This window comes from Homo sapiens, chromosome 7 (genome assembly GCF_000001405.40).
Source record: "Homo sapiens chromosome 7, GRCh38.p14 Primary Assembly".
NCBI classification, from domain to species: domain Eukaryota; kingdom Metazoa; phylum Chordata; class Mammalia; order Primates; family Hominidae; genus Homo; species Homo sapiens.
In genome coordinates, this window is record NC_000007.14 from 135,659,652 (window position 1) to 135,684,906 (window position 25,255).

Genomic DNA, 25,255 nt, shown 5'->3' on the forward strand with positions numbered 1-25,255 from the left:
GGTCGGTTGCTGTGGCAATATGCTGGAAAGCAGAAAAACCAGGAAGTGGGTGGGGGAAGACAGAGAGAACAATGAGAGATGTTTGGAGAAAAGCAGAAATAGGAAATGTTGATTAGATTTCTATAGCTTTCCTATTCCCTAGGTAAACTAAACATCCTAAATTCCTTCCATTGATTGAACAGACCCTCTTTTTGGCCAAAGGGACTCCAGAAAGACCTTAAAACTGAGTTCCCAGACATGATGGTACGGGAGGTCAGACATGCCTCGTTATATCCCCTCTCCTTTGCAGTTTAAATGCAACAACTGATCAGCATTAATGTTAAAACACAGACCAGGGGGAGTAAGCTCTTTCCTTTCTGTCTGGCAGCAGCCATCAGGTAAGCCAAAATGGATGCATACAAGTACATCCAGGAGCAATGGAGGAAGAAGCAGTCTGATGTCATGCGCTTTCTTCTGAGGGTCTGCTGCTGGCAGTACTGCCAGCTATCTGCTGTCCACGGGGCTCCCTGCCCCACCTGGCCTGATAAAGCACGCCAGCTGGGCTACAAGGCCAAGCAAGGTTACATTATATATAGGATTCATGTTCACCATGGTGGTCAAAAATGCCCAATTCCTAAGGGTGCAACTTATGGCAAGCCTGTCCATCATGGTGTTAACCAGCTGAAGTTTGCTCGAAGCCTTCAGTCCATTGCAGAGGAGCGAGTTGGACACAACTGTGGGGCTCTAAGAGTCCTGAATTCTTACTGGGTTGGTGAAGATTCCACATACAGATTTTTTGAGGTTATCCTCATTGATCCATTCTATGAAGTTATCAGAAGAAATCCTGACACCCAGTCGATCACCAAACCAGTCCACAAGCAGAGGGAGATGTGTGGGCTGACATCTGCAGGCCAAAGGAGCTGTGGCCTTGGAAAGTGCCATAAGTTCCACCACACTATTGATGGTTCTTGCTGGGCAGCTTGGAGAAGGCGTGATACTCTCCAGCTCCACCGTTACCACTAATATAAGTAAAGTTTGGGCCAGGCGTGGTGGCTCACGCCTGTAATCCCAGCACTTTGGGAGGCCGAGGCGGGCGGATCACAAGGTCAGGAGATCGAGACCATCCTGGCTAACACGTTGAAACCTCGTCTCTACTAAAAATACAGAAAATTAGCCGGGCGTGGTGGCGGGCGCCTGTAGTCCCAGCTACTCGGGAGGCTGAGGCAGGAGAATGGCGTGAACCCGGGAGGCGGAGCTTGCAGTGAGCCGAGACTGCGCCACTGCACTCCAGCCTGGGTGACAGAGCGAGACTCCGTCTCAAAAAAAAAAAAAAGTTTGTAAAATTCGTACCTAATAATTTAGGACAGTCATGTCTGCTTACAGGTGTTATTTGTCTGTTAAAACTAGTCTGCAGATTGTTTCATGAATGCTTTGTCAAATTATGAAAATTAAAGTGCAATAATTTTTGAAGACAATAAGGGATGGTGTATCTTGTTTCTAATAAGATGAACTTTTTTTGTCTTTGCTTTATCTTATTAGGGAGTTATATATCTTATTAGGGAGTTAGTGTTTAAAACATACTGTGTGGTATAATAGGCTTAAAATAAATTCTTTAAAAGAGAAAGAGAGAAAAAAACACACACATACACAGACCGGAAGACTGACAGAACAGACTCTTTGTGGCGATGATACAAATTGTCAACAGGACCTATGGCCATCCCAGGCAAGAAACCCAGCTAGGCCAGTGAAACTGAGAGCCAACCTGATGAGGCCTGCCAAATGCAACTTCTCTCACTTGTTTTTAGTCACCTGCTTTTAGTGGATTAAAAAACCCACATAGCTAAAGTCACAGAGCTAAACAATATATATCTAAGCTCCCACTATCTTCCTTATGGATAACATCTCTGACATCTGGGTTGCTTGATAAAGGTTTCTTGTTTTTCAGGAAGTTGGGGTCAGTTCTTGTACAGTTTAAACCACCAACCTCTCAACTGGGCCTGCATGAAAGCCCGATGGGTGTCCTTCTGACATTAGAGGGCCAAAACCTCCACACTCAGATCATGCTAAGGATGTCATTTTGTGACCATGTATCCTATAAAGAGCCATGAAGCTTGACTACCTCGCGCAGATAACCCATTGCCAAACTTTTCCTTACCTTCAACCGCCTTTCCCCACACCTCAGACCACCCTGCTCCTCTATCCCATAAATATCCCTAAAACCCATCTTTGGGGAGGCAGATTTGAGATCTGTTCTCCCGTCTCCTCGGCTGGCTGCCTGGTGAATAAACCTTTTCTCTGCTACAAAACTCATCATCTCAGTGACTGGCGTGCGGCACACGGCAGCATGGGCCCCATACGGTACCCAGCCTCTACCTTGATTACACAACACCTGATTACACAACGCTGATTACACAGCACACCTGCGGAGCTTTGAGAGCTACAAGCCTCCTTTCCTCCCCGCAAAGTCCAGCTGGGCCCAAGTAGAGGATGCTGCAAAAGCCCCCACGATTCAGCTGCGAACCTAGGGATGGGACCCGCTGCTCATGCCGTCCTTCTAGGTTAGAGAGCCCTAAACTGGGCTGTGTATCAGAATAGTCCGCGTGCTGAGAATAATATAGATTCCTGGGCCTCGGCCCAGGTTTACAGAGGCGGGATGCTCAAGGATGCCCAGCCAGGCTCGGGACTTGCTCTTCGCAAGTCCTGTCGCGCGCTCGCTGCCCCGCCGGTTCAGGCGGTGAGGCCAACGCGCTCCGCCAGGGGGAACCTGGGCGCTGCGACACTGCAAGTCGTTTCCGGGCGCGGGCTGAGTGGGAGGAGCGGGGCGGGGCGTGGCGTGACCCGGAAGTCGACGAGGGGTTCCGCCCCCCCCGCGCATGGGGAGGTAGGCTCGGACCGGCCCGCGGAGCTGCTGCAGTCCTTCGCGCCCTCCTCGCCCTCCCCACCGACATCATGCTCCAGTTCCTGGTGAGTGGAGCTGCCGAAGAGCGGGGCCCGCTGCCTGGGGCGTGCCTCGGACCCCATTTCCCCCTTGAGGATTGCCGACCCCGCCGACCCGGCCTGGGCGTGGGTCCAGCGGTCCCTTCGTCCCCCGCGCCTGGTCGTCGCCTCGCAGGGCGGCCGTTTTCTTCCTGCCTCCCCAGAAAATCCCTTTGCCAATATTTTTCTGCAGCCATCCAAGTCCCTAAAACTTTGAGGTGTCAGAGAGTGTGCGTTTCCAGAGCTTCTTATTGTGTGCCGCGCCCCGCGCTCATTGTGCAATCTTTGTATTAAAGCTTGTGTGGTCCTTGATGACTTTTCGTAGTCCGCCCCCCTTTCTTTCTGCGCTCCTGTTCCATTACATGGTCGCCGGCCGGTCCCTGCTGTGGAGCCCTGCTAGTTGGCTTTTCTGAGGAGGTAGGAAGGCCAGGAATAAACCGTAAATTAGCCACCTCACGAAGTCCGAGAGGCTAAGTCCTCATCAGACCTTTCAGAGTTGGAGGAATGAGTCAGACACTGGTATACAAGTAATTTTTCCCAAAATGTGTAAGCATGAGTAAGCAGACTATTTCTCTTGGCTCCTTATTTGAGTTAAAAACGAGTTTTCTGGCAAAACTCGGTATATTTCAAAAATTGCTTGGTGAAGGTTCCAGGAGTTGCTCATCAAATTTTCAAGTGAAAGTTTTTCTGCCAAGCTATTGTGCATTCAAAACTTGATGCTTTCAACCTCTATTTTTTTTTATTTTTTATTTTTTTTGAGACGGAGTCTCGCTGTGTCGTCAGGCTGGAGTGCAGTGGCGCAATCTGGGCTCACTGGAACCTCCGCCTCCCGGGTTCAACCGATTCTCCCTCCTCGGCCTCCGGAGTAGCTGGGATTACAGGCGCGCACCAGGATGCTCAGCTAATTTTTGTATTTTTAGTAGAGACGGGTTTCACCAAGTTGGCCAGGCTGGTCTCGAACTCCTGACCTCAAGTGATCAACCCACCTCAGCCTACGAAAGTGCTGGGATTACAGGCGTGAGCCACTGCTCCCGGCTCAAATGCTGTATCTTTTTTTGTTGTTTGTTTTAACGGAGTCCCGCTCTGTCGCCAGGCTGGAGTGCAGTAGTGCGATCTCGGCTCACTGCAGCCTCCGCTTCCTGGGTTTAAGCGATTCTCCTGCCTCAGCCTCCCGAGTAGCTGGTGCGCGCCAGCAGGCCCAGTTAATTTTTGTATTTTTAGTAGAGACGGGGTTTCACCCCGTTGGCCGGGATGGTCTCGATCTCCTGACCTCGGGATCTGCCTGCCTCAGCCTCCCAAAGTGCTGGGATTACAGGCGTGAGCCTCCGCGCCCGGCCCCAAATGCTGTATCTTTATCAAAGAGATTAAAACACAAAATGCACCCCTTTTGTCCTTTTGAAAGATGGTAATGGATTGTTAAATCCAATTAGTCAAAAGAGTGTCCTTAATCTGCCCAGCTAAGACAGGGCTGCTCCTTTGCCTCTAGGAGTTTCTGTAGTGTCCTAACTAGATGTTAGTTTAGGAGTTCAGAATAATGACAGTCATTTTCTTGTAGTAAACACTAGATTAAAAGCGGTATCACTTAGCTCCAGAGTATAGAATGATGTAATTGAGCTGCTTACTATATCTGTTGCTCATTGATAAACTGAGAGGACATGATTCAATTACAGTTAACTTTCTAAGTGGTTTTGCAGAATGAGTCTATTTGGTTTTGCAATAAACTTTTACTGTGTGTTAATTTTTTTTTTTTTTTTTTTTTTTTGAGACAAGGTTTCTCTTTGTCACCTAGGCTAGAGTCCAGTGGCACAATCATGGCTCAGTGCAGTCTTTAATTCCTGGCCTCAAGCAGCCTTCCCACCTCAGCCTCTTTAGTAGTAGCTAGGACTACAGGCCCGCACTACCACCCGTGACTAATTTTAAAATTTTTTTTTTGTAGAGACAGGTCTTGCCTAGGCCTCCCACAGTGTTGGGATTACAGGCATGAGCCACCACTGTGCCTGGTCAGATTCTGATTTGAGAATTCAGAATTCTCAGTATTTAAGGAGAGATGCTAAAGCTGTCAATTATATTCCTAGCTCAGAAGTAACTGAACACTGATGTTCTCTCACCCTCTGGTCTTCCACCTCATTGCTTTTTTTTTTAAATAAGTGGATAGCATTACTTTTCACATTGATTCCACCTCTGTCAAATGAGCCACTGACTCTAAAGTTGAGCAAGTATTTCTCTTTGTGTGCAGTCATTTCATCTATTAAAAAATGACCATCATGTTCTAGTGTTTAAGAGATTAAACTTCAGAGTCAGACTTCTCAGTTTGAACTCTGCCTCCCATCATTTTCAAGCTGTGGTAGCGTGGGTGGGCTATTGAAATTTTCTGTGCTCCCATTTCCACATCTGAAAATGCAAACCCACCTCACAGTTTTGTTGTGAGGATTAAAAATGAGTTAACACATTAAAGAACTTAAAAACAGGAGCACTCAACAAGGATTCAGATAGTGTTCAGTTTTTCTTTTGCAGGGTTCATTTGAACCCTGATTGAGTTTCTTCTCAAGTGGGGATTAGCTTCTCTCAGAAGGGTAGGTGATAGGAAAGGTTTAGAAGTGATGAAACAGTCACAAGTTAAGCAGTGCGTTGTCATTACACATTTTGGAACCGTCTAAGATGTTTCTCCTACAGTTGTGATTTGTGGACAGTTTGAAAACCACTGCACTTGCTTGTGTTGGTGATAACGTCCTTCCATTATTCATATTCCTCCTCAGATTAAAATATTCTCCCTTTGTCCCTATCTTGAAGAGACCTTGTTCCTGTGATTTTCCCCTTTTCTTTTACTGCAGTTTTTCCCCTTTATTATTACTATTTTTAATAGTGGAGATAGGGTCTCACTATATTGCCCAGGCTGGTCTTGAACTCCCAGGCTGAAGCAATCCTCCCACCTCAGTCTCTCAAAGTGTTGGATTATGGGCTTGAGCCACTGCTCCTAGACTTTTTTTTTTTTTTTTAAATGCAGTGCTTCAGAAATTTGTGTGTCGTCTTTGCGCAGGGGCCATTCTGATCTCTGTATCATTCCAGTTTTAGTGTATGTGCTGCCAAAGTGAGCACCCCCCTTTCTTTTACTGCAGTAAAAGACACCTCTTTGCAGATAGTTACCAACACTACCTGAGGGAAGCTACTGCTTCCTTAATCGTAAGGTTTAGCTAGAGTTATTTTAAGGATGCTTTTGGCGGGAAGCTAACATGATGGCACTGCTGGGGGCTTTGTGCACACTGCCTATGATGTTGTTATTGTGTTATTGTAATCTGTTGCTTTTTTTTTTTTTGAGACAGAATCTCACTCTGTCACCCAGGCTGGAGTGCACTGGTGCCATCTTGGCTCACTGCACCCTCCGCCTCCTGGGTTCAAGCGATTCTCCTGCCTCAGCCTCCGGGTTCAAGCGATTCTCCTGCCTTAGCCTCCGAAGTAGCTGGGATTACAGGCATATGCCACCACACCTGGCTAATTTTATATTTTTTAGTAGAGATGGGGTTTCACCACGTTGGCCAGCCTGGTCTTGAACTCCTGACCTCAAGTGATTTACCCACCTCGGTCTCCCAAAGTGCTGGGATTACAGGCGTGAGCTCCTGCACCCGGCCGGTTTTCCCTTTATCCTTTTTGCCTTCCTAAATACTCTTCAAGGCCCCACTTTGATCTTTTTCCATGAGGCCCTCCTGATGACTTATGCTTCTGAAACCTTTACACTATTATGTCTTTGTTTTGTTTTGTTTTTGAGACAGCGTCTCACTCTGTCACCCAGGCTGGAATGCTGTGGTGCAATCTCGGCTCACTGCAACCTCTGCCTCCTTGGTTCGAGCGATTCTCGTGCCTTACCTTCCCAAGTAGCTGGGATTACAGACGTGTGCCACCATCCCCGGCTAATTTTTGTATTTTTAGTAGAAACAGCCATGTTGGCCAGGCTGGTCTCAAACTCCTGGCCTCATGTGATCTGCCCGCCTCTGCCTCCCAAAGTGCTGGGATTACAGGTGTGAGCCACTGTGCCTGGCCTTACACTATTACACTATTATGATCCATTTCCTCATTTATTTAGGTCTCATGTCTTTTCAGTAACTTCTGAATAATTATCTTGCACCTTGTTTGTTATGTTTATTTCTATTTTGTTAATTATTTCACCAGTTGATGGACATTCAAGATGTTTCCACTTTTGGCTATGATGAGTAATCCTGCTAGGAATATTTGTATACAGGCTTTTGTGTGGATATGTATTTCAGTTCTGTTGAGTATATACCCTAAAGTGGGATTGCTGCATTATGTGGTATCTTTATGCTCAACTTTTTGAGGAACTTTTGGACTGTTTTCCAGAGTAGCTGCACCGTTTTACATTCTCACTAGTAATGTATGACGGCTTCAATTTCTCCACATCCTCGCCAACATTTCGTGTAGCTCTTATTGTTTTTGTTAAAGTAATTCTAGTGGGTGTGATGTAGTTCCTCATTATGGTTTTGCTTTGCATTTCCTCAGTGACTAATGTTGAGCATCTTTTCATATGCTTGTTGACTGTTTGTAGCTTTGGAGAAATCCTTTCACATCATTTGTCCATTTTTATTTTTGTTTTATTTTATTTATTTATTTTTGAGACGGAGTCTCGCTTTGTCGCCCAGGCTGGAGTGCAGTGGTGCAGTCTCGGCTCACTGCAACCTCTGCTTCCTGGGTTCAAGTGATTTCTCCTGCCTCAGCCTCCCGAGTAGCTGGGACTACAGGCGTCCACCACCATGCCTGGCTAATTTTTGTATTTTTAGTAGAGGCGGGGTTTCACCAAGTTGGCCAGGCTGGTAATTGAACTCCTGACCTCAGGTGATCCCCCAACCTTGGCCTCCCAAACTGTGGGATTACAGGTGTGAACCACTGTGCCTGGCCAATTTGCCCATTTTTAAATTGAGTTTTTTTGTGTCACTCAGTTGTAAGAATTATTTATATATTCTGGATACACATCCCTTATCAGATATATATTTGAAAATATTTTATCTCATTCTGTGTGTTGTCTTTTGACTTTCTTGATGGTGTTCTCTGAAACACAGATATTTTTAATTTTGATGAGGTCCAATTTTTTTTTTTGGTTACTTGTACTTTTGGTGTCATATCTAAGAAAACTATTTGCCCAGCCCCACTCATGTGAAACACAGATATTTTTAATTTTGATGAAGTCCAATTTTTTTTTTTGGTTACTTGTACTTTTGGTGTCATATCTAAGAAAACTATTTGCCCAGCCCCACTCATGAAGGTTTACGCCTATGATTTCTTTGAAGAGTTTTATAGTTTTAGCTCTTACATTTAGGTCTTTAATCCATTTTGAGTTAATTTTTGTATATAGTGTGAGATAGGAGTCCACCTTTATTCTTTGCATGTGGATATCCCATTGTCCCAGCACCATTTCTTGAAAAGATTATTCCCAGCACCATTTCTTGGAAAGACTATTCTTTCTATATTGAGTTCCTTGGCACTCTTGTTGAAAATCACTTGACCATAAGCCTTTATGGTGTATTCCTGGGCTCTCCACTTTATTCCATTGATCTTTATTGATCAATAGAAACAATTCAGTCTTCTTTCCTTGCCACCACAGTAATCGGCTTTTCTCTAATGGGTACTTGGTTTTCTTAAAAAAAAAATTACCTTTTTAAATTCCTACATCTTTTCATCATCTAATAGGTCCTTGTTTCCTCAGCCTTTTCTGAGTATAGGTACCGGGAGAGTGCTTCTCAGGCAGTGCTTTCATCATGTTGCTGAGGGCAGAGTAGTCAGTGTCTCCCTACCATGATTGCATGTGAAGGAAACTCCCCTGCCTCTGATGCCCAGGCTGGAGTGCAGTGGCATGATCTCAGCTCACTGTAACCTCTACTTCCTGGGCTCAAGTGATCCTCCCACCTCAGCCTCCAGAGTAGCTGGGACTACAGATGTATGCCACCACATCCGGCTAGTTTTGCATTTTGTTGGTAGAGATGTAGTTTCACCATGATGCCCAGGCTGGTCTCAAACTCTTGGGCTCAGGCCATCCTCTCACCTTGTCTTCCCAAAGTACTGGGATTACAAGCGTAGCCATTGTACCTGGCTGCCCTACCTGCTTGTTGAAGCCCAACATCTAGACCTTTCCAGCTTTCCATACTTAATTCTCTCCATTCTTTAACTCAAATTCTCTTTTCCAGTCAGGCCTGTTTCTTTTATGCCAGTCATCACATGTCCATTCCCATCTCGTGCCTTGATTTTCCACATTCAGTTTTCTTCGCATTTCCTTTACCAGTTGTATTAGTCCATTTTCACACTGCTGATAAAGACATACCCGAGACTGGGTAATTTACATGGGAAAAAGGGTTTAATGGACTTACAGTTCCACATGGCTGGGGAGGCCTCAATCATGGCAGAAAGCAAGGAGGAGCAAGTAACGTCTTACATGGATGGCAGCAGACAAAGAGAGAGCTTGTGCAGGGGAACTCCTCTTTATAAAACCATCAGATCTCATGAGACATATTCACTATCACGAGAACAGCATGGGAAAGACCTGCCCTCATGATTCAGTTACCTCCCACTTGGTCCCTCCCACAACGTGGGAATTCAAGATGAGATTTGGGTGGGAACACAGCCAAACCGTATCACCAGTTTAAATGTGAACACTTAGCATATTTAGAGCCTTTAATATCAACCTGAGGTATATATTTTTCAAGTATGATTTCTTAAAAGAATCACTTTTGTGTCATTCATTTTGCCACTTAATGCATGGCCTAGTTCTGATGTTTGGAGCATCTGTTAACATTGAAAATCCTGTGCAGGGTCCTGCCTTCTGTTGTTATATAACTATTTTACCTAGCATTTCTTCCTATTCATCATATAAGTTCTCTAAGGGCAGAGATCATTTTTAATCCTTTCATGGGGCTAAATATGAGGTTGATTTTTAGTATAAGGTCTGCAGTCCCTTAATCAAAATCTTTAGGGGCCGTATGTATTTGGGAAATCAGATTTCTTTCAGATTTTAGAAAAGTAATAAGCTGCATCATGTACCTCGGTACTTAACACCCCCAGCAGCATCTGGGATAGCACTTTGTAATCTAAATGTATTAAAATTTTTGGTGTGAGACATATTCTCCAGCGAGGAGGTCTAAGGCAGGATCCTATATTTAAAGATTTCTATTTCTATAGCAAAAAATGATTATTCACACTAAAGTGTGATAATGACATAAATAGGCTCCTGTTAGTTCAGGTCAGATATGCTTTTGCTACCAAATGAGTTATGATGAAATGTAGTTTGGATTGAGTTGGGTTTCAGAATTGTGGATAATGGATTGTGGAGCTTCACTGATTCTTAGTGTACTCTCTATTTATAGAGCTGACAATGCGATTCTTCTGTTGTGTACTGCTCTGTGCCAGTCTAGACTTCTCTTTTGGGGCTCTTAGCTCCAGTATCTTCTTCCCATCTATTTTTCCTGTACACTACTTTCCTCATCTCAGTCCTCTGTTCTCAAACTTCCAGTGTTTTACCATTAATTGTCCCCAATGTTTCTGTGAAAAGAAGCTACTTTTTCATACCCCTAAAGTCTCAAAATTATTACAGAGAGGGTGTGATAGTAATGCACTTAGTGTTGAGCTTGGGAAGAAAGCATTGCATTCCTTATGCCACAGTCTTCTCTACAGGGAATACTAAGGGGTGACCATGTGATATGGGGGAAGCAGGGCATTGTGATGGCATTCAGCTGACAGAACTACTGATGAGGTTTCCAGGTCTTGGCCTGGAAGAAGTTAGGCATTCTTGGCCTGCAAGGAGGTTTCAGACTCATCCAAGACCTCCTATAATCTGACTCCAGTCTAACCTCTCAGACTGAGTCACTGTTCCTCAGATTTAGGTTTTACTTTTTTGTCTAAACTTGCCTACTGACCATCCCGTGAATGACATACTGTATATGCTTTTCTGGCTTCATGCATTTTTCCCAACATTTCTCTTAGTGATATTTTTCTTGTGTATTTAATCTTATGATACTCCTTTGGTAGATCCGGTAGTATTCTGAAACTGGAATTGATATGACTTGTTTAGAGGCTCATGGTTTTTGTTTTGTGTTGTGTTTTAAAATAATCATGAGTTTTTTATGTGCCCTGATACCTGGCAAAGTTGCCAAAATGAAGCCACGTTAGACATGCCACATTTATTTAGAGACACATTTGGTAAGAACTAGGAATCTTAGCATGTTGGAGCTGGACATTACATTGTGAGTATAATGTTTTATAAATCAGGAAGCTCAAATCAGCAAAGCTCCAGAGAGGTTAAGTGTCTTGCTTTAGGCACACCGCTTGATAGTGGTGGAACCAGAACTCGATTATTTTTTTTGAAAGTTTTTAAATCCCATGTTTTTTCTTTTTGGTGTTAGAGCTAATACTTTCATTTGACTTGTTTTCTCTTCTTTTAAGCAAATTTAATACTCCTTCTGGATTTGGAAAACCATTTCCTACCTGGTTTCAACCCATAGGAGAAAAAAATCATTCTCCTTCAAGGTGCAACACTGGTAAAAGTAGGATTTTGCAGGCCATATCTGATTAATCAAATGATCAGAACGGTCTATGATTAGAGATAAGATAGACTCTTCTATGATTTTTATTGCTAACAACAAACCAATTTAAATTATACTTTTGGTGTTTCAAGCTTAGTAAGTTTAAAGTGTACTAAGGACCCAGCTGCATTCTGTTCCCCTGTGTGCATCTCCAACTTGAAGAGAAGGTTCAGTCATGCCATGTGATTGATGGTGTTAAGTGCCACATTTTATTTTTTTAAACCTCTCTGCTGTGTATTGATTGAATAAAAGCAACAATGATTAAAGAAAATGATGAAAAAAATTGATGCTAGTTTGAATTTATAAAATGAGAAATTAAGCTCCAGATGGAGCCTCTTAGTTACCAGAGGAAAACAGGGAATTATTATCATTAAAACTCAAAGCTGAGGAGCCTTGGCCCTTTTGGATATATCTAAATTTTCATGAACCAGTTTTTGTTTAGGAAAATAGTCACCAAATGAGATAAATATTTAAAGTTTTCTAAAAATTGCACCCGTCTCTTGTCACTGTGTTTCCCACCGGCCTTAAATGTCCTGCCTGTTAGACTGTACCTGTGGCAGAGTGCTAAGCCATATGTGCTCTCAGTGGTGTGTCAGAGTTTTCTCTTCTTTTCTGTAATCACATATTTTAGTTTTTGAGTGTGAAGCTAATGTAGATTGTCCTGTCCTCCTTGTTGTGAATGTCCTTGGAGAAGTCCCTTCCCATCCTGGGCCTCAAGTTCCTCTTTTGAACTATGAAGAGATTGTAAACTGTGAAGAGTCCCTTCATTCTCTGAGATCCTATGATTTGACTGAATATTTATTTATTTTTATTTTGAGACAGTGTCTTGCTCTGTCTCCCAGGCTGGAGTGCAGTGGCACAATCTCAGCTCACTGTAACCTCTGCCTCCCGGTTTCAAGTGATTCTCCTGCCTCAGCCTCCCGAATAGCTGGGATTACAGATGTGAGCCACCACGCCTGGCTAATTTTTGTATTTTTAGTAGAGACGAGGTTTCACCATGTTGGCCAGGCTGGTCTGAAACTCCTGACCTCAAGTGATCTACCACTTTGGCCTCCCAAAGTGCTGGGATATAGGCGTGAGCCTCTGTGCCCGGCCTTGACTGAATACTTTAAAAACTGAATAATTTTTATTTGATTTAAAAAGGAATAACAATATCCATAACCAAAAAAAGACAAAAAAATTGCAGCATGCAACAAGAAAAATCTGAACTTTGGCTTGAGTTTCCAGGACTTGTAGTCAAGTATTTATGTGGGTTGTGAGGGGATAAGAGAATTTAGGGTAGCTTTATACAGTGTTACCATTTATTCTTTTTTGTTGTTTTATTTTTTTCTTATGTTTGGTTGGTGTCACCATTTATTCTTTTGTATGCTGTTTAGCCTCTGGAGAGGGCATCTCTGTGTTTATAGAAGAAAAATGTGACTCTCATGTTGTACACAGCCCTAGACTGGACATCAAGGTCTTCTAACTGTCCTAAGCTTCTTAGGAAGATATTGTCTATGTATTTTAGTTTGGAATCAGACTGGCACAGGACTCGGCATGCACTATAACTCTTACTGTTCTATTTTTTCAGCTTGGATTTACACTGGGCAACGTGGTTGGAATGTATCTGGCTCAGAACTATGATGTAAGTGGCCATATCCATGACTTCCTTGATTCCATGTAACTGTTTTAGAGTGACTTTTCTTTGTTTGAGGTAAGGTGTGACTTCCAGCATAAATGTAGTCCATATGGCTGAGGCAAAACTCCTGAATATTGTAGAATGGTTTGCCATTGTTTGAAAAAGTAATCCAACTCATGAAACAGCTGTCCTCCATATCACCACAAGAGGGCAAAATCCCTTCAGTTTAGCTGGGCTCATGATCATCCTCAGCTGTGGCTTGTTAGCCGAGAGTAATATTAAGTTGGGCTCTTAAAATTCTTTGGGAAATCATGTGATAAGTGAGAATTTAAAAATTAATTGGATAATATTTTCAGCCCCACTATCCAGTAGTAGAGATGACTTAGAATTTTGGAGATGCATCTGGGTAGGGGGACTGAAAAATATAGATCTATATTCCATCTCCAAAATTCTAAGTGTAGCACATTTGGGGACAGAGTTTTGTGAAGTTGTATTAACCTCACTTTATAGGTGGTGATGTTGAAAACCAGGTGGTGCAGCAGCCTATGAATGGGGATTCTGGACAGGAGTTTGAAAAAGACAAGCAAGGGAAACATGATACTAACTTGATTTGTTATAAAGCTTTTCATATGACAAAGGGAATTCCTTTGTCAACCTTCGTTTGAGTCATACAGTTTTCTAGGCAAAGGCTACATTATGTCACATTTATTGTTTATATGTACAACCTTTACTTGGCACCAGATCGAGCGGAAGTGGGTATACAAAAGTAGAAGTGGGTTTCAGAGAAGGAGCATACTTATCTGACAACTTCTGATATCTTTCACATGCAGTTATAAGGCTAAGAAATACCACTATTGGCCGGGTGCAGTGGCTCACGCCTGTAATCCTAGCACTTTGGGAGGCCGAGGTGGGCAGATTGCTCAAGCTCAGGAGTTCGAGACCAGCCTGGGCAGTGTGACGAAAGCCCATCTTTACAAAAAATACAAAAATTAGCCAGGGGTGGTGGCATGTCCGTGGTCCCAACTACTTGCGGGATTGTGGCGGGAAGGATCACTTGAGCTCTGGAGGTCAAGGCTGCAGTGAGCTGTGTTTGCACCATTGCCCTCCAGCCTGAGTGACAGAGTGAAACCCTATCTTAAAAAAGAAAGCAAAAAGAAATAACCACTATTTAGCAGATCTCTTTTGGAGGAAGATAAAAGCTTGTAAAACCATTTATCTTTGGAGGAAGAGAAGTACAAGAATATTGATTAGGTAGATGCAAAATTATAATAACCTTTTTTCTCTTCAAAGATACCAAACCTGGCTAAAAAACTTGAAGAAATTAAAAAGGACTTGGATGCCAAGAAGAAACCCCCTAGTGCATGAGACTGCCTCCAGCACTGCCTTCAGGATATACTGATTCTACTGCTCTTGAGGGCCTCGTTTACTATCTGAACCAAAAGCTTTTGTTTTCGTCTCCAGCCTCAGCACTTCTCTTCTTTGCTAGACCCTGTGTTTTTTGCTTTAAAGCAAGCAAAATGGGGCCCCAATTTGAGAACTACCCGACATTTCCAACATACTCACCTCTTCCCATAATCCCTTTCCAACTGCATGGGAGGTTCTAAGACTGGAATTATGGTGCTAGATTAGTAAACATGACTTTTAATGAGTAGTGTCTTCTTTATCGTTTGCGATTTTTACTACCTTTTTTCAAAAGAAAAATTGATGAGTTTTGTATAGCTGGTCAGATACAAATAATAGTGACTTCACAGTTTAGTAATTATAATGGGTACTTGTTAAACATTTGGTACTAAATTATGTTGCTGCAAAGTAATTAAAATTAGTATCTAGAGCTAGTTTCTGGTGAATTATTCATTTATTTTGTACTGTTGTTAGGCAGCTCTGTAGTTGCTAATTTAACCAATAAGTCAATTTGCTATTCATGAAGAAACGATTCTGAGAATCCTGTCAGGAATTGGGGAATGAAAAAATACACAAAATAATGGTCTTTGTCCCAGTAGAGTTCATAGTCTATTTAGTGTGCATGTTTTTCCTTAATGATGTATTTGATCTGACTTTTTTCCTTCTCAAAAGAATCATACTTGGGATTACAGGTACATTTGATGTTATATGATGGATAAGTGAAAAGTTTTTAAAGGAGATTTTATACCTTTTCACATTAAAAAAGGTATTTATATTATTACTTTGTAGTGATTGTCTTAAGAAAAAATATAGCCCAAATGTATAGTAAAATCAGCAGCTCAAGAAGAATTTCTGCTTCTCTTTGTAGTTGATGCTTTGTTTTTTCCTGCAGTCAGAAATTCCTTGTATTTGTCAAATGTATAATCAGCTTGTATTGTTTTTAAATTAAAAAAAAATTTGAATAATTAACTTTTGCCATGGGACAAGATACAAAAGTAATTTCATATAAAGGGCCTCTCCCACCCCTGTTCTCTGGCTCCTGGCTCCTGTTTGACAAGTTACTGTTACCACTTCGCCTTATACTTTTGAGAAAGAGTCTGTGCCTAAACAAACACGTGTAACACAAATAGTAACTATACATGGAGGTCTAGCCCTCGCCTTTTTTTTTTCTTTTTTTCTTTTTTAATGGAGATCATTCTATACCAGCATGTAAGTAGCAAGGAACCTCATTCTTTTTTTGGCTGCCTAAAATTTTTTTGAATAGATATAACATAATTGATTTAATCTGCTACTGGTGAATGCTTAGGTTGTTCTTTTGCTATTACAGTGATAACTTCAATCCTAATGTTATTAAGCATATCGATTCAGGGTATAGCTATAAGATGAAGTCCTAAAAGTATAATTTAGACTAAATACAAATACCCATTTCGCTAGCTGTTTTGTTTCAGAGGACTTGTTGAGCAGCTTCACTAATAATGCCATTTTTGAAGACATGGCAGGTTCAGAATCAATAAACTGGAAGAATTGTTCAGAGCATCTTTTTTCAGACAGTGATGACATTGATTCTGTATATGATAAAGTGATTCTGCTTCTCTTTGACAACTTGCATCTCTCCTACATGGAAGTAAGTTTTATTCCTGTCAATGTTGTCTTTGTGTGTGACAGATTAGGATTAAATTATGGTTTGACTTTTCCTAGCAGCGTGATCATGGGCAAGTGGCTTTTTTTTTTTTTTTTTTTTGAGACAGAGTCTCACTCTGCTGCCCAGGCTGGAGTGCAGTGGCACAGTCTTGGCTCACTGCAACTCCTGCCTCCCGGTCCAAGTGATTCTCGTGCTGCAGCTTCTCAAGTAGCTGGCATCACCACCACACCTGGCTAATTTTTGTATTTTTAGTAACGACGAGGTTTCACCATGTTGGCAAAGCTGGTCTCAAATTCCTGGCCTCAAGTGATCTGCCCACTTCAGCCTCCCAAAGTGTTGGGATTACAGGCGTGAGCCACTGCGCCCAGCTTTTTTAAACTTTTAGATTCATTTAATAGGTAAATTGCATGTCACGGGTTTGTAGCTTATTCTTTCAGAAACTCTTGCATTATCTGTAGACGTGGACGTAAATATCCACCTCATAGGGTTTTCATAAAAAATAATTGAGATAATGTATGTAATGTTTCACAGTGCTTTGCAGACTATCTAATAAATAGTAGCTATTAGTACAAACTTGTTGCTTTTTGGCTAGTTCTGCAGTCACTTTTGGAATCAGTTTATGAACCACACAAAAAGTTTGTCATTATTCTGTAGTCGCTGTTTTTGATACTGATGAAAATTTACAGTATCCACCTGGATTGTACCATCTGGCTCACAAGATTTGATCTTGAATTGTTAGCACAATGAACTACAGCCTCAAAGGATGAAAGTTTACCTTGCGGGTATTAAAAATGCTAGAAGCTTAGAAAGCTGTTTCCAAAGAGGGATTCCTTGTTACCAACCATGATAGCATTGCTGTGGTGTGTGTGGTCTCCCAGAGTGGCTGCTTTGGGATTGGAGGTCACTTAGCTATTAGAAGGATAGGTCTCTTTATATTATACCTTGTAAACAAGGCTCATTTGGACTTAGGGCTTCCTTTAGAGGTGACACTTAACCTTGGCAAGGGGATCATTTCTACCAGTGGGATCCATCTAGCAGATCAGTTCTTAAATTCGGCTTCATCATGTAAACTGCTACACAGTGCAGGCTGACTTTGCATTCACCATTCAGATACCCTCTCCTAGTTTTATGTTCTTGGCAGCAGTGAAAAGGACCTCAGAGTTCTCAGGCAAGATGATCTTCACTGAGCTATATGTTGGAGGAGCCCAGAACCATCATAGTTTTAGGGTGTAGTTGAAAATCCTTACTGTGAATGGGGTTTATGGCACTGAAAGTTACCCCTTCCCTGGGAATTTTGTAGGAACCCTTGCCACACAGATCAATGGAGTGGTGGGAAGAAGCACCACAAGACAGGCCTTTTTTTTTTCCTTTAAAAAATGTTTGAAAGCTCCTACTAATATGGTTAGGAAAACTTCTGCCACATCTGACCATAAAATGAGAGTTGCTCAAAATACTAGTGCAGATTACTCTGACATGTGAAATACAAGACTTCAGGATTGATGCTAGAAAAATACAGTGAACTTGAAAAGCTTATCCCTAAACTGTAATCCTCCCAAACAAAACAAAAACAAAGCAAGAAAAAAAGCCTTATTTAAAATTGTCAAAAGAGGCTGAATTTTATGAAGTTACCAAAAGTATATCTTTAGACTTTTCTTCTGATTTGGTATTTTATGTATTTAAGCAGTTACCTGATTCTGATTTAAAGGAGCAATTTTATTTCTCTTTTTCTAACTCATTTACCCAATGAGTTTGTGTGACTATAGAGAAAAGTAGGCTGTGTGGTTTTTCTAGTTGTCTATACACATTGCCTCATAGAGCATATGTACCCATGGTACACATGTGTAATGTTTTCATTTCCACTAACCCGTTCACTCCCTAGATACTATGCTGGTGTTTTTCTGCTGAGGTCTCCCACATTTTTAATGCCTTTTCTGAGTTATTCCTCCTGAAGGAACGTTATATACTGTACTGGAGCAAATGAGGCTTTTCTTAAACTTCCAGTCTTGGGTTTTGCATGTAGCATTTCCATTCCTTACAGATGAATGAGTTCTTTTTTCCCTATTGACTATTAGGGCTTCGCCTTGCGGAAAGGAATAGGGTGGTGAAGGGAAAATATTTTGAGATCTTGCCTGCTCTTAATAGGGAGTTTGTGACACTTAGATTTTCAAGTGTTCATTTTATACCTTTCCCAAATCTGGTTGCAGTGTATTTAGTCAAGCATTGAAGACCTAACATATGGCATGTTTTGCAAGGCACAGGGAAAGAAAAATGAACTGAGAACAGTGAGACCTTGTGGAAGTTCCCAGGGTGGGACGTTGAAACCCTGGGTCCTGGGCCTTCCTGAATCACAGCCTCGGTGGGAGGATTTTATGAAAGGTACAGTGCAGTTGCATCATCTTACACAGTTGTACAGGACTGGGACCAAAAAAGGTGCCATGTAAATAGTGCATGCAATTGTGTTCAGTGTTCGTTCAGTGAGGACAGCCCCACTGAGCTACCTGTGTACTCAGGTGGTCTCGGTTCCCTTTGCGTTCTAATGGTTTGAGTTTCTTGCTGTATTGAGAGTGATTCTAGTGTTTAGAGACTTTTTCAAACATCACGGTCTCCAGATGTGAAGCCAACTACCTCATTTATTGTATGGTTGAACAAACAGATTTGTTCTGATGTTGGAAGGAAAACTAGCTGCTTTTGATTTGTTAAAAGATGGTACATGAGTGTTTGTGATATGTAAATACTAATGTGAAAGATTGTATACCATGTACTTAATGTCTGACTTAGTGGAATTTCAAAGGCAACTTTGACTAAGCAAATTTGATAAAGAATTGGTTTAAGAATAAGATGCAACTATACTTAGTGACTTTGGCTCACAGTTTCATCATCCATAAAATATTAGAAGATAAAATTAAATTATATTTGCAAGAGACACAAGACTATTAAGGAGGGCTAGAAGTTATCCAACAGTGGAGTGATTTAGATGACAAGGAGTTATTAATCATATTTGCCATTTCCTGTCACTGGAATGGGTAACCTTGCTTGGCTTGAATCTCCAGTTCTGGGAAAGAACAGTGCTGTGCTTGAGAGCAGTTTAGTAGACCAGACTGAAATAAACGCTCTTTCTAAATTGGCTAGTTGAATGCATTCACTACTCGGAACACCTGGCAGCAGTTGCTGGCACAGCTTTCCCTTCAGGAGTGAGTCAGGTTCTCACATAGTTGAATACTGGCCAGTAATTCTAAGTCCACTTAATTCTAAATCAACTTTTCTTTCTCTTTTTACTTATACTCCCAGAATCTTACAGATTGCACCTTTGTCCTATTGTCTGACTTAGGGGCAAAGGATCTGTGTTCTGTGATGGTTCATAAATGTGATGTTTGGCTGCTCTGATAATAAGAGTAATACCCTGACTCTTGAAAATTTAAAGCAAATGACTTTAGAGATGTTGGCTGGATCAAATCAGCTGTAGCGTACCTAACATTGGTATTTCATTTGGGCTTGTGAGGTCTTAACTATTATATTGGACAAATAATTTTGGTCTAACTCACAGGGCAGAAGCACTGATGTTCCCATTAACCATGGTCAGTCACATTCTGTGGTTGAAGCACATGTTTGTGGTGGTTTCTTTTGCTCCAAAAGAAATTTTACAACTCACAGATGCTTGATCAATTAAGGGAGTGATTTTATAGATAAATTATTGTGGGAAAACAGCACGTGCTATCAGTAGTAACTTAAAATCACTTAAAACAGTGCAGTAATTGTAGGGGACTCCCTTTCCCCTAAGATATATTTAGCAAACAACTGATGGGAGAAATAAAAAATATGTAACACTAACAAACTAGAGGGATTGAGAGCTATCTCCAGTCATGTAGCAAGGATATCTATCATGGAGAAAACGGCATGGTCTTCAGGAGGAGAAAGAAGCCTTGATTTCCAGACAGTTGTTTTCTCATGGGACACGTTTATTGAGCATTTACAGCTTACCACATTGTAGAAGTTGCTGGGGGATTTCAAGAGCCATAGACAGCTCTTCTCCCTCAAGGGGCTCATGTAGGGATGTGTAGGAAGTGACAGATGTGTTTGGACCTTTGGCTACTACCTAATACTTTGTTTTCTCAGGAACAAACTACTTATTAAATCCAGAAGCAAGCCAGTCTAATATAATAATAATGCTGTGGTCTTAATTATAGTTTTGGTTTCCCTTATAAGACACATAGGAAAGTTTTCCCTCCCTCCCAAAACTTAACCAAGGCAATAGTATTTCTGGTTAGTGACAGGTGGAGAGAGAGATGTTAATCTCAATGTATCTTCTTTCTTGACTTCCCTTTCCTTTTGAGACGGAGCCTCGCTCTGTCGCCCAGGCTGGAGTGCAGTGGTGCGATCTCAGCTCACTGCAACCTCTGCCTCCTGGGTTCAAGCGATTCTTCTGCCTCAGCCTCCTGAGTAGCTGGGATTACAGGCGTGCACCACCACGCCCGGCTAATTTTTGTATTTTTAGTAGAGTCGGGGTTTCACTCTACTAAAACCCTGTTGGTCAGGCTGGCCTCGAACTCCTGACCTCATGGTCCGCTTGCCTCAGCCTCCCAAAGTGCTGGGATTATAGGCGTGAGCCACCGCGCCCGGCCGACTTCCCTTTCCTTTGACTAATAGAACAACACCAGCCTCTTTCTGAAAGGGAACACTATATGGGAATTTGGTGCCAAGGTAAAGGGGAGCCATTGAGGAGAGATGCTTAAAAGGGAATGAAAGTGGTGATGAAAGAGTACTAATTGCCATGAGGAAGACCTACTAAGAATGCCTTCTTGTGGAGAGAACTTAGGATAGAAGCACTTAAGAGAAAGGAGCTGATGGCCGGGCGTGGTGGCTCACACCTGTAATCCCAGCACTTTGGGAGGCTGAGGCAGGTGGATCACCTGAGGTCAGGAGTTGGAGACCAGCCTGGCCAACATGGTGAAACCCCATCTCTACTAAAAATACAGAAAACCAGCTGGGCGTTGTGGCACATGCCTGTAGTCCCAGCTACTCAGGAGGTTGAGACAGTAGAATCGCTTGAACCTGGGAGTGGAGGTTGCAGTGAGCTGAGATCGTGTCACTGCACTCCAGCCTGGGCAACAGAACGAGACTCCATCTCAAAAAAAAAAAAAAAAAAAAAGAGAGAGAGAGAAAGGAGCTGACATTAGGTTTCGAGGTCTGGGTGAGGTTTCCCACAAAAAAGATGTCACTGGTTTCACTCTGCCTTGGTAGGATGACTTGGGTATCTTTCTACTCCTAAGAAGGTATTAAGAATAACATAAAACCTAGTGAGTTTGCAAGGCTTAGCCTCCGAAGGGTGACTAAGACAGGCTTTCTTTTCCTGTCTTCAGAATGAATGGATTACAAAGACTAGATACAACTTTAGGTTTTCTTTGTCTTCTTTTTTTTTAATTTAATTTTTATTTTCTTTTTCTTTTTCTGTGAGCCTATGGCTTGTATTGAAACTTTAGGTTTTCTTGAGCTGTGGTGCTGAGGGCAGGAAGAAGACACTAACAGCGAAGCATGTGTTTGTGGTTGTTGGAGGATTCCTGCAGTTCACTTGAGGTGGCGGAATCTTCTGGTGGAGGGATGCCCTCCGGCGTGGGTCTGGGGTTGTGTGCTCCTGGTGGTCCTAGTGGTTTTCTTTGCCTGTGGTCCAGATACTGCTGGATACTGGCAGCTCCTGTGGTTGGGCCAGTTTGTACACTTGGCGTTAGGCTTGATCAGTGATGTTGCTGACCCTCGCCCATGCTGGGTAAGTGTCCAGGTGGAAGAGGCTAACTCCCCAGGTGTTGATGGCCACCATTACTATCACCAGTCCAATAACGTTGACTCCCAGGCCAGCTTTCACCTGCAGGACACAAACCAGCACACCCTAGTCACTCTGACCAGCAGCAGCACAGATCCCCAAGTCCCCCTTCTGTTCCTGCAGCCTATGCCTTGTGGCCCAGATTAGTTCCCAGTTGCTGCCTGGGGTGCTCTAGCATTGCCTTGTAGGGTGCACAGGACTGTGGAAAGGCGGGAAAGGGACAATTAGAGTCATCTCCACTTCATGCTTACAGCACTCTCACTAGATTTCAAGTGGAAGCCTAGAAGGTATGTTAGTTACTTGGAACACCCACTCTGTGGAACGTGAAGAGGTATTTCTGCAGCTCACTGATAGGGAAATGTGCTAAACAAAACTAACCAGATCTCTGTAAAGCAGGAACTTCTCAGAGCCCCGATGCGTTAATACAGGGAACTTGTACGAGGGGCTATATTACATGAAGCCTTTGCTACTGTTACCTTTTTTTAAGGAACAGCTCATGGAAATAGTGTACCTTGAGTTCACTTGGGGAAACGGTTTAGCTGCCTCTGCTCAGCTCTTCCTCAAGAAGGGGACACAGGCATGCTAGCTGGAATGGAGCCTTTGCTTCTTTCCTCTGAGGGAATTACACCTCAGTGACTGACCCTTTTCACTTCTGCCTTGACATTGACACCCACAGGCTGAAGTGGGGGATGTGAGAGATGGTGGGCTGGCAGAGCCAGATGGAAAAATGTGTCCTGTAAGGATAGCTGGCATCTTCCCAAGGAGTAACCAGGCATATAGCATGTAGCCAAGACAAGTCACTAGCTGGCATTAAGTTGGGAAAATTGCAAGGGGAAAGTGGATGCTGGGAAATTGTTTCAAGCAAATGGCTAGACGTGTCCTCTCTCTCCTGCCGTCTGGTCGGGGCCCCCTGGGCATTTTGGCATGGAGGACAGCCCATGTTTCCCCACAGGTGAGAGGGCAGGTTCTAGCAGGGCTAAATTAAGGAGTGTTAGAGTTGAAAGGGACCCCATGGAGCATCCAGCTGGAACCTCATCATTTAGCAGATGAGGAAATTGAAGTCAAGGTAGTGCCCAAGCTGGGAATAGTGCCCAAGACTGGCTCACTTCTTGTCACCTGGTACCTTTGAAAATTACTGCCTCTGATCATTTGATTCCAGTGTAGAAAGCTAGGGGTCAGTGGTGGGGGCACACAGCAGAGGAAGCGGGAGACAGGAGAGCTGGGGTAGAGCTCAGCGTGAGCAGACTGAGGGTTACGCAGTAAGATGGGAGGGGAGAGGGATGGCTGGGACACTCCATTCAAGGAAGTATCACGGATGACTTAGATGAGCAGTTCGAACAGTCGAAAGGACCTGAATAGGCTGAGAGCAGTGACTCACACCTGTAATGCCAGCACTTTGGGAGGCCAAGGCAGGCAGATCATCTGAAGCCAGTAGTTCAAGACCAGCCTGACCAACATGGTGAAACCCCATCTCTACTAAAAATACAAAAATTAGCTGGGCATGGAGGCGCACACCTGTAGTCCAAGGTACTCTGGAGGTTGAGGCATGAGAATCACTTGAACCTGGGAGGCAGAGGTTGCAGTGAGCCGAGATCGCACCACTGAACTCCAGCCTGGGTGAGAGTGAGATTCTGTCTCAAAAAAAAAAAAAAAAAAAAAAAAAAAAGGATAAAAAAGGACCTGAATATCTGCCACCAGCCTGAAACTTTTTCTTCCTTTCCTCTATTTGTTACTTTACAGGGCTGCCCGAGAACAAATTTGGCTCCCATGAAAAAAAATTGTCAGACCATCAGTAATTCGTATCAGTGTTTTCCATCCTCTCCCCCCCCGCTCAGCCCTGGATACTAAGTATAGCAGCAGGTGTATAGGTAGAGGAGTAGAAGGTAGATAGGCCCAGTGCTAAAGTCAGCAGCAAAATATCTCAAAGCCATCTTTTGTGAGCCCAGCTGAAAATGAAAATGAATGGTGGACGCTTCATTTTCCATTGTTGCTTCAGGGGTTTCTTGCCTGGGCCGGGGTGGAGGGTGAGTTGAGCAGAAGAATCCTGTTTTCTCAAAATACCTTTCACCCTAGGTTCATACACTTCCTCATTCTCATCTTCTGTGAATAAACCAGTAGCTTTCTCAATGAATGTCTCCACTGGCCTAATGAAGAAACGAAGGCAAAACTTGTTTGCACAGGCTCATGCCTTCTGGAACTGGGCCACAGCCTGTCTGTTCCAGCTTTCTCTACCTAGGTACCCACTTCCTTCCAGGGAAGGGTTGGGGAGAGCACATTCTTGCTATCCTTGGTGCTTATAGACCAACAAAAACCTTTTTATAGGTGCTATTCTTGCTACCACACTGGGTTTAGCATTGACAGGCCAGGGACACTGCTACAAAATAAGCTTTGAAAGAAGGCTGCAGAGCTGTCATCCCTGTCCTCATGGCAGCTGGGCCTGGCAGGGAGAGGGCACCCCAACTCACCATATCTTTGATCTGGCAGTGCCCATAGCTGAAGACGATGGCATTAGGGGGATTGCCCACAGGCAGCATCACTGCAAAGGAGATGCACATGGTGACTGGGATCAGGGTGTAGAGGGGGTTAATGTGCAGCGTTTCAGACTAGAAGAGAGAATTCACAGAAACATTCACGAGATTAGGCTTGCATTTCCTGTGCTTAATGTCAGGAGCATGCTTTAATGATGACTTGGTGCTGGCTAACCTTAGCAGGACACTATGTGGAGGGGTAGTTAGGTCTCTGCCCTCTGGGGCATGCAGTCCCTTGACAACCTGAATAGGCTGATGCTGCTTACTTGCTCCACATGGAAATATGGCTTTGAGTTACTCCCTAGAAGGGATGTTTGATTTTTTTGGTGTTATTCTAAGGAATTGGTTCCTAAACTTTATTCTTTAGCTGAGACTTCCTTTCCTTAAACTCAAATCTCATGAATAGGTTGCTTTGATTGAAGTGGGGATTCCTCAGTCTTAGGGTACAGAACTAAGGTGGTTTTTTTTTTTTTTTTTTCCTAGGGAAGATAATTGTTTTATATGGGATTTGAATCCATGGTCCTGCTCTCAATGTTGCCAAGTTTTAACTGCACTCTGTTGCTCGCAGGAGCAAGATGACGGAAGGGAGAAGTTGGGGTCATCTGAGCAATGAGCAGAGAGTATGGCTCTGGGGTTAGAAAGAGCAGTAGGAGACTATGTTGCTGGGGTCAGGAGGGGCCTTCATTTCCTGGATTCTGCCTCCCAGAATGGGACAGATGA

At 43.0% G+C, this 25,255-nt stretch overlaps 2 protein-coding genes and 2 pseudogenes across 6 annotated transcripts in view, besides 4 other annotated features; 2 read left to right on the forward strand and 2 right to left on the reverse strand.

Annotated features, from left to right (window-relative positions):
• Positions 337 to 1,017, forward strand: RPL15P11 (ribosomal protein L15 pseudogene 11; annotated as a pseudogene).
• Positions 2,738 to 2,957: a silencer, noted in NCBI's record as "silent region_18680". NCBI's record gives its function as "represses an Ori minimal core promoter by ATAC-STARR-seq in GM12878 lymphoblastoid cells {active_cell/tissue: GM12878}" and the evidence as "EXISTENCE:reporter gene assay evidence [ECO:0000049][PMID:35858748]".
• Positions 2,863 to 16,765, forward strand: STMP1 (short transmembrane mitochondrial protein 1). The gene is made up of 3 exons (NM_001130929.2): positions 2,863 to 2,943; positions 13,102 to 13,155; positions 14,440 to 16,765. Exons 1-3 carry the CDS (start codon positions 2,929 to 2,931, stop codon positions 14,512 to 14,514), a joined length of 144 nt encoding a protein of 47 aa, NP_001124401.1. The 5' UTR covers positions 2,863 to 2,928; the 3' UTR covers positions 14,515 to 16,765.
• Positions 3,597 to 4,121: an enhancer, noted in NCBI's record as "NANOG-H3K27ac-H3K4me1 hESC enhancer chr7:135347996-135348520 (GRCh37/hg19 assembly coordinates)". NCBI's record gives its function as "activates a minimal SCP1, AML or CMV promoter by ChIP-STARR-seq in primed H9 embryonic stem cells {active_cell/tissue: H9 hESC(primed)}" and the evidence as "EXISTENCE:reporter gene assay evidence [ECO:0000049][PMID:30033119]".
• Positions 4,122 to 4,646: an enhancer, noted in NCBI's record as "H3K4me1 hESC enhancer chr7:135348521-135349045 (GRCh37/hg19 assembly coordinates)". NCBI's record gives its function as "activates a minimal SCP1, AML or CMV promoter by ChIP-STARR-seq in primed H9 embryonic stem cells {active_cell/tissue: H9 hESC(primed)}" and the evidence as "EXISTENCE:reporter gene assay evidence [ECO:0000049][PMID:30033119]".
• Positions 5,430 to 5,724: a silencer, noted in NCBI's record as "tiled region #4311; HepG2 Repressive non-DNase unmatched - State 7:EnhWF, and K562 Repressive DNase matched - State 5:Enh". NCBI's record gives its function as "represses a minimal TATA promoter and a strong SV40 promoter by Sharpr-MPRA in HepG2 and K562 cells {active_cell/tissue: HepG2 | K562}" and the evidence as "EXISTENCE:reporter gene assay evidence [ECO:0000049][PMID:27701403]".
• RNU6-1154P (RNA, U6 small nuclear 1154, pseudogene) lies at positions 5,948 to 6,051 on the reverse strand (annotated as a pseudogene).
• A 4,814-nt stretch (positions 16,766 to 21,579) lies between the features above and the next one.
• Positions 21,580 to 25,255, reverse strand: part of SLC13A4 (solute carrier family 13 member 4) — a 46,956-nt gene continuing 43,280 nt past the window's right edge. For 3 of the 5 annotated variants that reach the window (NM_012450.4, NM_001318192.2, XM_017011962.2), the window contains 2 exons: positions 24,473 to 24,610; positions 21,580 to 22,049 (listed from right to left, as the gene is read on the reverse strand). In NM_012450.4, the coding sequence (NP_036582.2) occupies positions 21,912 to 22,049; positions 24,473 to 24,610 (276 nt within the window). In that variant the 3' untranslated portion in view covers positions 21,580 to 21,911. The remainder of the gene's footprint in view (positions 22,050 to 24,472; positions 24,611 to 25,255) is intronic. The other 2 variants (XM_047420184.1, XM_011516024.4) reach the window with 1 other exon arrangement.

What these genes read in the sequence shown, in the direction of transcription:
- STMP1 (NM_001130929.2), top strand. An exon ending in ATCTGGCTCAGAACTATGAT is followed by an intron (nt 13,156 to 14,439) that starts GTAAGTGGCCAT and finishes TTCTCTTCAAAG; the next exon opens with ATACCAAACCTGGCTAAAAA.